We start from the raw sequence: 14,125 nt of genomic DNA on the forward strand, positions 1-14,125 counted from the left end.
TTTTTTTTAGAGATGGGGTCAGGGATGGGTTCTCCATCTGTTGCCCAGGCTGGAGTACAGTGGTGTGATCATAGTGCACTGCAGCCTTGAACTCCTGGGCTCAAGCAATCCTCCTATCTCAGCCTCCTGAGTCTCTAGTACTACAGGCACATGCCACCGCACCTGGCTAATTTTTATTTTGTATTTTTTGTAGAAATGGAGTCTCACTATTGTTACAGCCCAGGGTGGTCTCGAAATCCTGACCTCAAGCGATCCTTCCACCTTAGCCTCCCAAAGCGCTGGGATTACAAGCATGAACCACTATCCCTGGGCTAAATTCTACTATTTTTAAACTTTATTTAGTAAGTTAAACAAGACCTAATTTTGTACAGATCATTCAGCTTTTAAATGTATTTTCTTACATAGGTATGTGTCTCAAAACATTACATTGTATAATTTTTCTCAGCTGCTTATCAATGATCTGGACTTTTGCAAATTTCTTAACCATTTGGAAGTTCAGTTTTCTTAACTGTAAAATGGGAATATGCATTATAATAGGATATTAGCTAAGTCACTATAGAAAAGAAATTAGAACAATTCAATGGCTTAGAGGAGAAAGTAGTTCACTTCTTTCTCAGAACCATCTAGGCTGGGTGAAATCTGCTCCGTAAGCTCATCCAGGGACCCAGACTACAGGATAGATTGGTCATCTTACAAAGTGATTTCCAAGGTTGCTCCAGTCATTACCTTTTTCATTTGGTGAGAAGGGGTAGGGAATGTCCAGGGCAAGAGTCTTCAAAGAGATAAATCAGAGGTTGAACTTATCCCTTCTGCTGACATTCCATTTGTCTAAACTTGGTCTCATGGTTACACCTAACTGCAAGGGAAGCTGGGAAATATAGATTGTAGCTGGGCAGTCATGAATATAGCTAAAATTAGGGAATTCAATTACTAAAAGGAAGAAGGTGAGAAGGAATACTAAATATTAGCAGTTTTTACCATTATAATGAGGATCATGTTTAAAAATTGCTGTGAGGACTGAAATTGTATTTGTAGAGCACAGAAGTATTTTGTGGAATTTATATAAACCATCAGCACAGGACTTGACACATACTGATGATCATTAAATGGTAGTCATTATTAGTGTTAGTATATTATTATTATTAAGTACTTCTATCCTTACCTGAATGCTTGAATTCTCTCCAAAGTACCATGGACAAGTAATTATTTAGCTATTCTGGAATTCCTATAGTAAAAGGAAATTTTATCTCTCTTATGGCAGCCATTTCATTTTCAGAGTTTTTTCTTCTTTCTAGCCATTATTTATCTTCTTACACTCACTTTTCTTTGTTTTGTCCTAACTGTTATCTCAGACACCCTCCAGAACAAATCTCATCCCTCTGTCATACAAGAGCCCTTCAGATTCTTATGGGAAGCTATTGCTTCTTTCATGAGTTTTCTTTAAGCACGTTTTTGTTCCTGCAACAGTCCCTCATAATCCATGATGTTGAGTACATCCCAAAAACATTAATTCACTCATTTAACAAATATTTATTGAGTATCAACTATTTTATCAATGCCCACTTTAAAACTGTGTTGTCAAGATCAGTACATAATATTCAGAGTTGGTCTGACCAGAGCCTAGCAATGCACACCATCAATCCCCTCATTCAGGGTATCATTTTCCCCAAGTGGGCCTTAAGATCATTTAACTCTTTTGGCAGCCTTATCATGCTGTTGACACGTGTTGACTTGGTGCCTATTACACCCCAAGCCTTTTTCATTTGTGCAATTAACCTGGATGTACCCTACTTTACACGTGAAGTTTTTAAAAAATCCAAATACAAAATGTTTCCTTTATTTCTAGTTAATTATGAATTGTATCTTATTGCAGTCACTGAAGAATTTTTATTCCTTCATTGAATATGTTAATTATCTCTCACAGATTTACACAATCAGAACACCTGATTAGTGTGTAACTGACTCCTCAGCTAAGATATTGACCAAATGTGGAACTGAACAGGACCGAAGAGAAGCCAGTAGTAGCCCTCAGAGCAACCATTTAACTAGTTACAAATGCACATAACTGCACCAGCATTTAGGAAATATTATCCTATGTGGTTCACAAAAGTCTCAAGAAAAGTATTTACCTGGTTTCTGTGCTCACTGCCATGCCTAATGAGGCCTTGGCCTACCAGTCCAAGTGCTACCCTCTGGCTGCATTCAGCCCAATGGAGTCTCAGAATCTCCCTGATTAGGAGAGCACGACTGGTGTTTTCCTGATATCAGACCTTTGTGCACTGAGATTCAACAAATATTTATTGAACTGTGAATGTGTGCCAGGCATTGTGCTGAGTACTTTCTCATATAAATGGAGCATGGAAGATGTGGAATATATTTTGTAAAAAATGCATATATCCTCAAGTAAAACTATTTTATTTTTCCTATGTGTGAGACCAGTACACAATGTTCCTTATTTAGAAACTACAGCAAAGTACTAAATGGATTTCACACACAGGTACTCCTCAGCTTTTAGCATGAGGAAGACAAACAGATATTTTATTTTTTGATACGGAGTCTCACTCTGTTGCGTAAGCTGGACTGCAGTGGCATGATCTTGGCTCATTGCAACCTTTTCCTCCAGGTTCAAGTGATTCTGGTGCCTCAGCCTCCCAAGTAGCTGGGACTACAGGTGCATGCCACCACGTCCAGCTAATTTTTGTATTTTTTTGGTAAAGATGAGGTTTCTCCATGTTGGCCAGGCTGGTCTTGAACTCCTGGTTTCAAGTGATCTGCCTGCCTTGGCCTCCCAAAGAGCTGGGATTGATTACAGGCCAGGTGTAAGCCATTGTGACCGGCCTACAAACAGATTTTTTAAATGTGATATATATTTTTCTATGATTATCTCTTTAGTGGCTAAATTCTTGCTAAATATCACATTACACTAAGTAAATCAACATAAACTGTGTGGACATGCTCCAGATATACATACAGGAATAATGATTCATTTGCTCTAGTTATTATAATTTAGAATTTAAATTGTGAGTCACCTGTACAGATGTTACCTTTTCCAAAGGACTTTCTACTCGAGGAATGCTGATCATTGGCATCTGTGCCAGATTATCCATGTGTATATGCTCATTTTCTGCTTGTCTCCCTTTGAAATTATTCACCACGCACACAACCTAAAATTTCAGAAGACAATTACAGTTAAAGCAAACTGTGCTCACTGTGACTTTCAGCCTTTTGAGGAGCTTAATAAAGCTAAGCATGTAAGAAAGTATTAAAATTACTTAAATGTTACACGTATATGAATTTATATCCAGATTTATTGTATTCATTTATTGTAAAGTTTATTGTATAAATTTTAATAGCTACTCCAATGCAGATATGTTTAAGAAAACTCATCGGTTAATATGTAGCTCACTTAATTATGACAATTTTATTATTCGAAAATTTTCATTACATCGAAGTATAGTCAATGCTCAAATCAATCATAACACCATAACCTTATAAAAATTCATAGCAAGCTAACCTTTTCCTAATATGGCTATTCTACAACTTAATTTAAATGCTAATTGTTTTTCATTGCTTCAGTATCATTATATTCATAATAAACCTTCTACAATTGGTACTCTCTAACTTAGCAGCATCCCTTAATTAACCTAGCTTATCGTCTATTATTGTGTCCCATATACACTTGGCAATCCAACAATAGCTTACTGGGGCTACCACTGAAATAGAAAACCCTCCGCATAAAACATGTATACATATGTAACCTGCACGTTGTGCACATGTACCCTAAAACTTAAAGTACAATAATAATAAAATTTTAAAAATAAAAAATAAAAATAAAAAGCCTGATGTTCTAAAAAAAAAGAAAAGAAAATTGACCCTTGTTTCAATGGATTATATCTCACTGGTGACAGAATTTGAACTAAACCAGAGGTTCTCATCCTTAATGTGCATAAAAATACATTTTTGGCATTGTTAAAAATACATATTCCTAAGCCCTCCCCTAAAGATTCTGATTTAGTAAATGAAGAATGGGGCCTAGGAGTTGGCACTTCAAAAATGCATTCGAGAAGCTTCTAATGCAGGTGAATCATATTTAAGAAATAATGAATTAAACATACCAGGAAGATTATTTGCTACTGTTTGCTTACACAATAAACAAGGTATTCTTGGTAAAGGTATTCTTGAGTTTTATTTTCTGTGTTTCATATTCTATTACAAATCAAAATACAGGCCTCATTTGCAGCTATAACCTAACATTCATTTTGTAAAGTACCTAATATATAATTATACATTTACATTTCATATTTTCACAAATGCTACACTGAAAAGCCTTTTCTTTCATAGAGTTCATTACTGAATATCTTCAAAGGCCAATTAGATCAATTAGATCTTGGTTGCTTTCCAGTTTTTAAATAAAATTTACAAATCTACAAAATAAGAACACCTACTGAGATTTTACGTCAGAAAAATACTCCTTTGCAAATTATTATAGATTTCTTATCCTTCCACTTCCCAGAAGAACTACAGATTAGAGATATAGATCAAAGCCTGATAATTTGATACCTCAACTTTGTAGTTGCCACTTTAAAGATCTTTAAAGTAAGGGACAGTAAGGGCTTGGAGATGGATACTTGATAAAGCTACTACCTCATGATGTTACCAGCTTCATGACCCCACAAAGGTCTGACAGATACTGACTGTTCTAGAGATAAGGTAAGCAAATTTTGTCTGTAAAAGGAAGACAGTAAATATTTTTGGCTTTGCAGCCTTACAACCTTTGCAGCAACTATTCAACTCCACCTTTTTGGTGCAAAAATAGCCACGGACAGTTTATAAACAAATGGGAGTGTCAGTATTCAAATATAACTTTCTTTACAAAGATAGGCAGCAGATCAAATTTGGTCTGTGGGCTGCAGTTGGCTGACTGACCACTGCTCTAAAATACAAAGGATATAATCAAGAATTTTGGCCAACAATAACAACGATGATTATTCTTCTTACTCTTAGTATTTTAATTATTAGGAAAGAAATTACCTAATCCTCTGTAGAGTTATATTCCAATATTTAATAAGTCTTGTCTGCTAACATTTACGATGTGGAACAGAGGTCTTGTTTGTAAAAATGGTGATAAGAAAAAGTGAGGGACATGGTTTTTGATCCTGAACATGCCTGAGTCTATACATTATCAGACAGTTCTCCGAGTCTCAGTTTTATCAATTAGAAAACGAAGAGGTTGCAATAGATCACTAAGTTAACGTCATTTCTTTGGCTGGCAAAGGTATGACAATTCAACAACTACTCAAAACTAAACTCAAGATCTGCCCCCTCCAGCACCCACTCCAAACTTGATCTCTTCTCTGGACACGTTCAAGGAAAGGCAACATGCCACCCCACTCCCCAACACCCACCTCCGCCCCAGTGCAGATTCACAAGGCTAAAAACTTGAATTAATCCTTTACACCTCTTATACTTGACCAGTTACTGAATCTGCTCAATGTTACTTTCCAAATATCTTGGTACCTAAATATCTTGATTTCTTATATTTGCTTCATTTTATCTCCTCCACCAACTCCAAAAACGAAGCAACTACCACCTGTTGCCTGGATTCCTACACAGCTTTCTAAACTATCTCTCTAAATCTAATCTTGGCCCCTCTATTTCCACCATAATGTGAGAATGATCTTTCCAAATGCAAACTGGATTATGTTACCCCCTTAAAGCCATTCATGGCTTGGCTTTCCGTTTTTCTTAATGTGTAAACTCTGGCCCAGCCCCACTTTTGCAGCCTTCCTTCTCTGTTTTCAAAACACTTTCTGTTACCTTTCACTTCCTGCTGTTTAGATACTCCTCACCTCCACTGTCTTTGGATGCCATACCTAACTCAGCCATGATATCTCGTCTCAGCTTCACTTCCTCGTGGATGCCTTCCTTGAACTCCTAGCTGGGATGGTTTATTTTGTTTTTGTTTGTTTGCTTTTTGCTTACATGGAGCTGTGATTATTTTTATCAGAGCACTTAGTATGAAATTAAACATCATTTAAAGTAATACTTTGATTGATGTGTCTCTTCCAAGTTCCACAAATGCAAAGATGCTCTTTTTTGCTCACTGCTGTGTTCACACTGTCACAGTGAGGGATCAGATTAATGAATGAGCAAGCATCTAGGACAGAAATTCTCAAATTTTCTGATGTGCTTATATAATTTAATGTTACTTTGCTTTCAGACGTTCTGGTTTTACATTAGTGACTTCCGCATGTATAATTCTTGTAATTCTATTCTCTCCTACCAAGATGATATGAGTAAATCATCACTGCATATATATTTTCTTTTTCCTGTCATGATGATAACTTAATCTGATCCATTCTTGTTCATTTTCACTCTTTGTTGGCAAATGAAACATCATTATTGCATGGGGTTAAGTGCATGGGCTTTGGGGTCAAACTGGTCTGGATCATAATCCTGGATCTCTCAGTTACTAACTTTGTAAACATGGGCAAGTTACTTTATATAATCAGGCTTCAATTTTTTTAAACCTGCAAAATGAAGACAATAAAAACATTTCACTGAGCTGTTCTGAGGGTTAATTGCATTAATGTAGTAAAGAGCACAATAACTATTATTGTTGTATATGATAACATGACAAACTATTTTTGTGGCTCAATAAACTTGAGCTCTTCTGCCTGACACTGTCATAAATATCATAATCAATCTAAAAATAGTGTTCAAATAGTATTTGCCTTGTATTTTGCTAAGTATGGTGATTCTGCGCTCTAACCTGAAACAAAATGCCCATGAGATAAGAGTAATACAATTAACACAGCACATAATTCCTTATTAAATTATAAGAGGACAGACTGAAAGAGTGGTAGAAATTCAGGAAAAAATGGAAAAATCAGCCAATCAGGGAAACTTCCTGGGGAAATTGGATCTTGTCTGAGCCAAATCTCAAATGTGTAAAGGGTTTGAATATAGTCATCAAACGTGAAGACCGTGGTATTCAGTGTCTTGTCTGCACTAGGCTTCACTTCTTACATGTGTGATTTCACTTAATCCTTAAAAGAACTCTGGGAAGTAAATAAAAAATTCTTTAATCATTCCTTCATGTATTAATTCATTCGTCATATATTTATTCAGTACTTCCTCTGTACCAGACCTTGTTCTAGTTATTGGGGATATGCTGTGAACAAAACAAAGAAAAAGACTTCACAGGGAGCTTACATTCTAGTGGGATTGATAGCAAAGCAAAACCAAAAATGCTCCATATGGTATACTGCACAGTAATTTATTACACATTAGTTAATATTACATATTAAAAGTTGGAATATCCTTTGTAGAAAAGTAAAGTAAGGAATAAGGAAAGGAATCCTCAAGGAGGAGAAGTCATTTTAAACATGGTTCAGAGAAGGCCTCACTATTTTAGTAAGAAGCAATAATGTCTACAATTCAAAAGTTATGGTCAGAGAGCAAAGATACAAGACATGGAAGAAATATTTTTATAGTGGAAATTAACCTGGCCTAAATGAATCACTGGTGTGTGGAATGAAACAGGAGAATGAGCCAAAGGCAAATGTTAGGCATTGAGTCTGGGTGACTGGGTGGTCTGGGTTCCTTTAACTGAGACATAGAGACCTGGAGTAGATTAGCATTAATTTTATTTTGGAATCACTTTAGAATTCTGCACACACTGCAAGATAATTAGAAACACCCTAGGATATTACAACATATTACAGGCCAGAGCTGGAGTTACTGCTCAGAATAAATGTGTTGAGTTTCCCAAATGAGAAAACTGGGAATCATCATAGAAGGCTCCCTGTGCCTCGTCCACATCACCTTCCATGTTCCACCAGGCTCCAAACCATTCCACCTCCTAAATATCCTGGAGGACATGATGGATATCCTCCCTCTTTGTGCCACTGAGGGCCAATTTGCACCATCCTGTTTCCCTGGTTCTGCATAACCCATCTCTTCTATCCTCAACTTTGTCTTATTGTCCTGCAAATACATTTTCAAAACACAAATCTTACGTAGGGTAAAAGGAACTGAGAGGAAGCAAACTATAGTTTATGGAACTTTTTCCAGTCATTCATGTCACAAATTCGCTGAACATGCACTATTTTGTTTAACCTTTATAGAGCCTTATAATGATCCTTTAGGGAGGCTGTTATTTAGCCACATTTAAATAACACACCTATAGGCATTCACATTCATAAATGGCTGTGAATGAATGCATAAATGCATTTTTAGTTATTATATAGTCAGTTTTTACATATAATCCTTTCATGAAGTCATTTTCCTGAGAGTATGGGAATGTTCAAAGGGCTATCATGAAACGTTCTCAACCTGTGCAATTGGAGGGTCTTGAGCTCAAGGGGGATCCAGAGCTCAGCTCAACATTCACCAGACAGGGAAGTGACTTGGAAGGCACCAGCATTCTGAGGTTGGCCTTGTAAGGTAAGGTGTTCACTGGAAGTATAGGGAAGGTGGCAATAGCGACAGATAAACAAGAAGGCTGATGAGATGCCAGTGAAGATGTTATGGACCCGCAGAGCTGAAATACAGTTGCATCTGACACCAGTGCTTTGAAATTTTGGCTACTTGTATGCTCTTGGCTTTGCCTATACTATTTTTTAAGGATTTATGTAAAGTTTGTTGTTGGTTTTGCTTTTTGAATGTTAACCAGTTTCAACTGTGGTGAGTCAATGCAAAAAAAAAAAAAAAAAAAGTTTTTGGTTCAAGCCAGGGCCCCAGTTCTCACGAGGCTACAGGATATCTCCAGGAAAGACAGAAGGTTGAGTCTAAGTCTCCCAGGGACCTTGGGAATCACAGAGAGTGGTATCACCAAAAAAAAAAAAAAAAGCAGCACAGGATGAGGTCATGGTGACTACTTTACCGCAGGAGATTCTAGAGGAAATAACTTATTTAAAATGCCCAGTACATAAATTATGTTTCAACATTTGGTAGCTGGAAAGATTCACTGAAGTGTTTGCTTACTGATTATTAACTAGTAAAATGAGGCTAATAAAGTTAAGTTACATGTAAGGGCAATTTAAATGTAATCAAAATGGACATAAAGTATTTTTTAAATTATAATGTGTCAATGCAAAAATATGTTTTGATTCATAGTCTACACATTGTTTCATTTGGGTAAAATGTGATATACTCATAATGATTAGTGCACATGAATAGAGGGAAGTTCAGGCTGTTTATTATATACTCATACTTATAAAATGTTATACACTCACAACTTATACTATACTTTAAGAGTATAATCAGATTTTATGGTATAAACATCAGTAAGTATTTGGTACTGATAATAAGTCAGAAAAATACTTAGAAATGCATACAAACCCTTGACTATTGCCTCTGGTTAAATAAATAATAATGAATTCTAAAGTCAGACTAAAATACATTTTCCAACAACCAAAACCTATGGAAATAGTCCTAGAAGATTTTATAATAAGAGTATAAATGGAATGCTTACTTCATTAGAAGTCACTGTGTATGCTCTTTACTATGCGGTGAAATATGATTTGACATGGTATGGTCTTAGAAACTATTCATGAGTTTTTAGTTACTGATGTAAAATGCCTCATCTCACAGGTGAGGCTGACCTGCTAGCACTGGGACATGGAGGCTCAGGGAGAGTACAGCAGGGACTCACTAGGGGACTTTGGGATTCTCTCAATACCCCAGCATGCCAACTTCCCTGAGGAATCTTTAAAAAATATCCAAACCAGTCCTGAAACTCGCCTATAACATTTTTTAAGGATTTATATAAAGTTTGTTATAAATCCTTAAAAAATATTATAGGCAGTTTTTACCCAGTCTTAAAAACTATTTGGGAGGGACAGTATGTTTTTAGGCCAGCTCTATTTTATATGAAAATATATTGTTCAACTTTAAGCATAGGATTTGTATTTTTTTCATCCCCAAACCTGACTTGTGGCAGAACAAATGGGGGAGGAGGAAGAAATGAATGACTTAAATGATTTGTTTTATATACTTAAATGAATGATTTGTTTGATATACTACATTTAGACAAACCCAGTGATTCACACTTGTATTTTCTCATGGTGATTATGCAAGTTAATTAAAAACCCAATGATATATAAATAAATTTGTACTTACCAGAAATACTGCTATAGATATTCCAACCAGAAAGCCTGCTATAACATCTGACCAATGATTTCGATATTCTGCTACTCTGTTGAGTCCAGTAAGAAATGCCAAACACATTAAGCCCAAGCATAGAACTGGCTTAGCAAGTCTGGTTCCCTTGGCTTTGATTGTGTTGGTGATGTACATCTGAAACATTCAATAAAAAAAATGACTTTTCATGAAGGTATTTCCTTTATTAGCATAGCATATTATGTGTATGTACAAACATATATTTATAGACATATATACGCCTGTATGATTCAAATCATTAACTGGAGTTTATGAAGTTTTTGAAATCAGTTTCTTAAAAGCAGAATTCAAGAGTAGCAATTATTTTGTTTTACTTACCTCGTATGGCAATCTCTTACAAATGGCCAATTCTTAGCATAACATTCTTAATCATCTAGAAACACCAAGCACAGATAGTCCAACTGTCTTTTTTTCTTTTTATTCTTACTGTATCCATTCTTGTTTTATCTGAATTTTCATTTTAGATCAACCTCAACAATATTATTAGCAGGGGGAAGCTGTTGAAGTGTTTAAGTGTTTTTAATGTTTCCATTTGTGTATGCCATATTTAGAGGACACATACTTGATAAAAACCAGCATTATGAATACAGCTAGAAAAAATAAAGTGGAATAGATTTCTACCAAACAGATGTTACTTTGAAGGAAGACTTTAAGATTCAATGCAATGCCGAGGTTGCTTTCATGTTGTTAAATGAAATTGTGAAATTACTTTGTTTAACTACATTTTATCAGCCAGAATTAGGACAATAAAACACTTAAGTAGGCCGGGCGCGGTGGCTCACTCCTGTAATCCCAGCACTTTGGGAGGCCGAGGCGGGCAGATAATGAGGTCAGGAGATCGAGACCATCCTGGCTAACATGGTGAAACCCCATCTCTACTAAGAATACAAAAAATCAGCTGGGCGTGGTGGCGGGCACCTGTAGGCCCAGCTACTAGGGAGGCTGAGGCAGGAGAATGGCATGAACCCAGAAGGCGGAGCTTGCAGTGAGCTGAGATCGTGCCACTGCACTCCAGCCTGGGTGACAGAGCGAGACTCTGTCTCAAAAACAACAACAACAACAAAAAAAAACCATAAGTACGATAAGGGAAATGTGTCAACTAAAAACAAAACAAAACAGTGAATAGGTACCTACATTTCTGGCATCTGGACTTATGCTAATGAACATATGGTGTCAATTGATTGCAGCAAATGAAATGTCATGAGCCACTACGCTCAAGAATAATTTGGTCCTTCCCCCATCTAATGTATTCTATAGCTCAACTGCTCATAAGTTTATGTATTATTTTATAAGCAAATTTGTTGACTGTATTCAATTATTATTTCAAGTCATGAGTAGAGCAATTGTAAAAGAAATGACTTTGATAATATAATCAGATTTTATGGTATAAACGTCAATAAGTATCTGGTATTGATAATATACTCAGAAAAATTCTTAGAAATGCATATATACCATTAACTATTGTCCCTGGTTAAATAAACAATACATCTGCCTAAGAGAGTAAACCAAAATGAAAATTTAAGTTTTTAGTTCATACCTGCCATTTTAGAACACTATGAAATCCAGTAATTATCTTCTCTATTTTTTTTTTTCTGGGCAGTTTGCAGCCCTTGTAGCTGCCAAAAGGGGCTGTATAAATATGTAAGCAGTCCAAGTGATACAAGGCATCTCTCTAGCCAAGTTCTAGCCTTTTACAATCCATCCCAGGTCTCAATACTCTGGGGCAGGGGGAGCTGAACTGTCTCCATCTTGGCCTGTGACCTTCGGAGCTGGGTCTGTGTGTCTAAGACTGTGCTTGGAAAAGCTTGATAATTTCAGTTATGGAGGGTAAGTATACATGAGAGGGGAACAGGAAGAGATGAGAAAGAGAAAACGATGCTTTTGCCATTCTGAGAGAATGTGTTAAAGAGTTCTGCCCACATGAATAACAAGGCCAGGCTATCACATCACTTCAGGTTTCAGTGATGCAGCTAATTGAGTAACTCCTTGTATGACGAGTGCGTATGAATAGACAGGGAAATTCAGGCTTCTTGTGAGGTTTTCTTTAACACAGCTATAAGGCTGGTTAATTATTTCTTACTTTTGCATTTCTTTACATCTGTTAACACTCAAGATATTCTGTCCTCATTGAGACAAAATAAATGTGGGATGATAATTGAATAATACTAATACTGCTAGTATCAATTATAGCTACCATTTAATGAGTGATTGCTCTTCACGGCAATGTTCTAAGCATTTTATTAACAAATTACTTATTCAATCTTCAAAACAATCATTGAAGTTAGGTATCACTGTTACCTCCATTTTATAGGTTAAAAACTGAATCAAGATAAAGCTTATTATGAAGAGTACACAATTTGATGATTGTGGTGGCACTGTCGAGAAAAGACAGGCGTAAATGGAAAGTAGAGGGAAGGCACTTAGGTATCTCCTAATCTTCCTTTCTTTTTCATTGATTTCTTGCCTGGAGGAAATGGCCAATGAGCATAAGTTGAGTACCAGTGAATGCAAGACAGTCAGAAACTAAAGACAGGAGAAAGGAGGCCACCACAGAATCATAGGAGTAAGGCTACATCTATGCTCTGCTATTAGGGGGAAGTGGGAAATAGTGTGTGGTCCTTGTGCAAAATACCCTACAGAATCTATACGGCTTCAGAAAAAATTTGCCTTTCCCTCACCCCCGAAGGCCATCTCAGATACAGTCCAGCCCTTACTTGTCCAAGTTGTATGAGACCATAGTAAAATGTGGGCTTGGGCTACATCCCTGTGAAGTTTCTCTTGAATGTCGAGTTGATCGTTAAATTGCCCTAATGACTCAAGCAAGGTTCATAAGGAGCCCATAGACAGTCTAGCCACAATGCAAACTCATGAAAAAGCTTCTATTTTAGGAATAGCCTGGTATTTGGCTTTTCCCTCCATCAGAGTGGAGAGTGGACAGTGGCTGAATTTCAAGGGTTATGTGAATTTCAAGGGTTATATATTTAACTTTAAAGTAGATCATAGCAGTGCTTTATAATGCACAAATTTTTCTGCAGAATAATCAGTTGGCATGGATGTTACAAAAGAAAAAATAAGAGAGCTTTCACTTGTACTCAGCAACTCTTCAGTACTTTATGAACATAAGTGCCTTTTTAGCCAGTCTAATTGTGTTATCCTTACATAAAGTCTATTATTCTTAATTTGCAGAAAAGGAAATTATGGCATAATAATCTATTAAGCATGTTGGATACAGAACAGGAATTGATTATTTATGCTCTCTTGGTTTTTAATTCACTTATGAAACCATCTAGGTTAACCAGATGTCAAAATGTAGCTAAAATAAAATACAAACAGCAGGGTGTGTGATTTGAGCAGGATGGTATTCACTCAGTCCTCTAGGGTCAGTAGATGCTCACTATCTCGCAGGCCAATCCATTTAATCATTATTAGCAGAGCTTATTCACCCATTCCACAAATATCCATTAGCACTAAGATGCAGAAAGCCAAAGCTGATCATTTGCTCCCTGTTAAGAGCCTGGTGTATATTCTTCTACACTTTTTCTCTTTGCTTATACAAATATATACAATAATTAACACACATATAAAAAGGTTTTGCTTACTTGTTTGCTTTTACTAAAATATAATCATAATGTCCTATTAGTCTGTAATATGCATTGACTCACTTGTTATAATATACATCCTTTTTTGTGTAAATTGAGAAAACACTGAACTATTATTAATAATAAAACAATGCTATTACAAAAATAAATGGAAATAAAAAAACACAAATATTTATTAAGCACCTACTATGCATCAGAGGCTGTGCTAGGTTTCTTCAAAGAGGAGGCATCTATGGTTAGATCCTGAAGAATGAGCATGAGAGTTCCAGGCAAAAGGGAAATGGTGGGGGAAAGGTGTCCTAGACAACATACACAATCCTTCTGTGTGTTCTCAAAGCACC

The 14,125-nt window shown here is 36.2% G+C and overlaps 1 protein-coding gene across 3 annotated transcripts in view; it reads right to left on the reverse strand.

The window, feature by feature from the left end:
- The window catches only part of PLPPR5 (phospholipid phosphatase related 5), a 115,542-nt gene that overhangs the window by 21,512 nt on the left and 79,905 nt on the right, over positions 1-14,125 (reverse strand). For 2 of the 3 annotated variants that reach the window (XM_011540838.4, NM_001037317.2), the window contains 2 exons: positions 10,126-10,302; positions 3,030-3,164 (listed from right to left, as the gene is read on the reverse strand). In XM_011540838.4, coding sequence (XP_011539140.1) covers positions 3,030-3,164; positions 10,126-10,302 — 312 coding nt within the window. The remainder of the gene's footprint in view (positions 1-3,029; positions 3,165-10,125; positions 10,303-14,125) is intronic. The other variant, NM_001010861.3, reaches the window with a different exon arrangement.

This window comes from Homo sapiens, chromosome 1, assembly GCF_000001405.40.
Source record: "Homo sapiens chromosome 1, GRCh38.p14 Primary Assembly".
In the NCBI taxonomy this organism is placed as follows: Eukaryota; Metazoa; Chordata; class Mammalia; order Primates; family Hominidae; genus Homo; species Homo sapiens.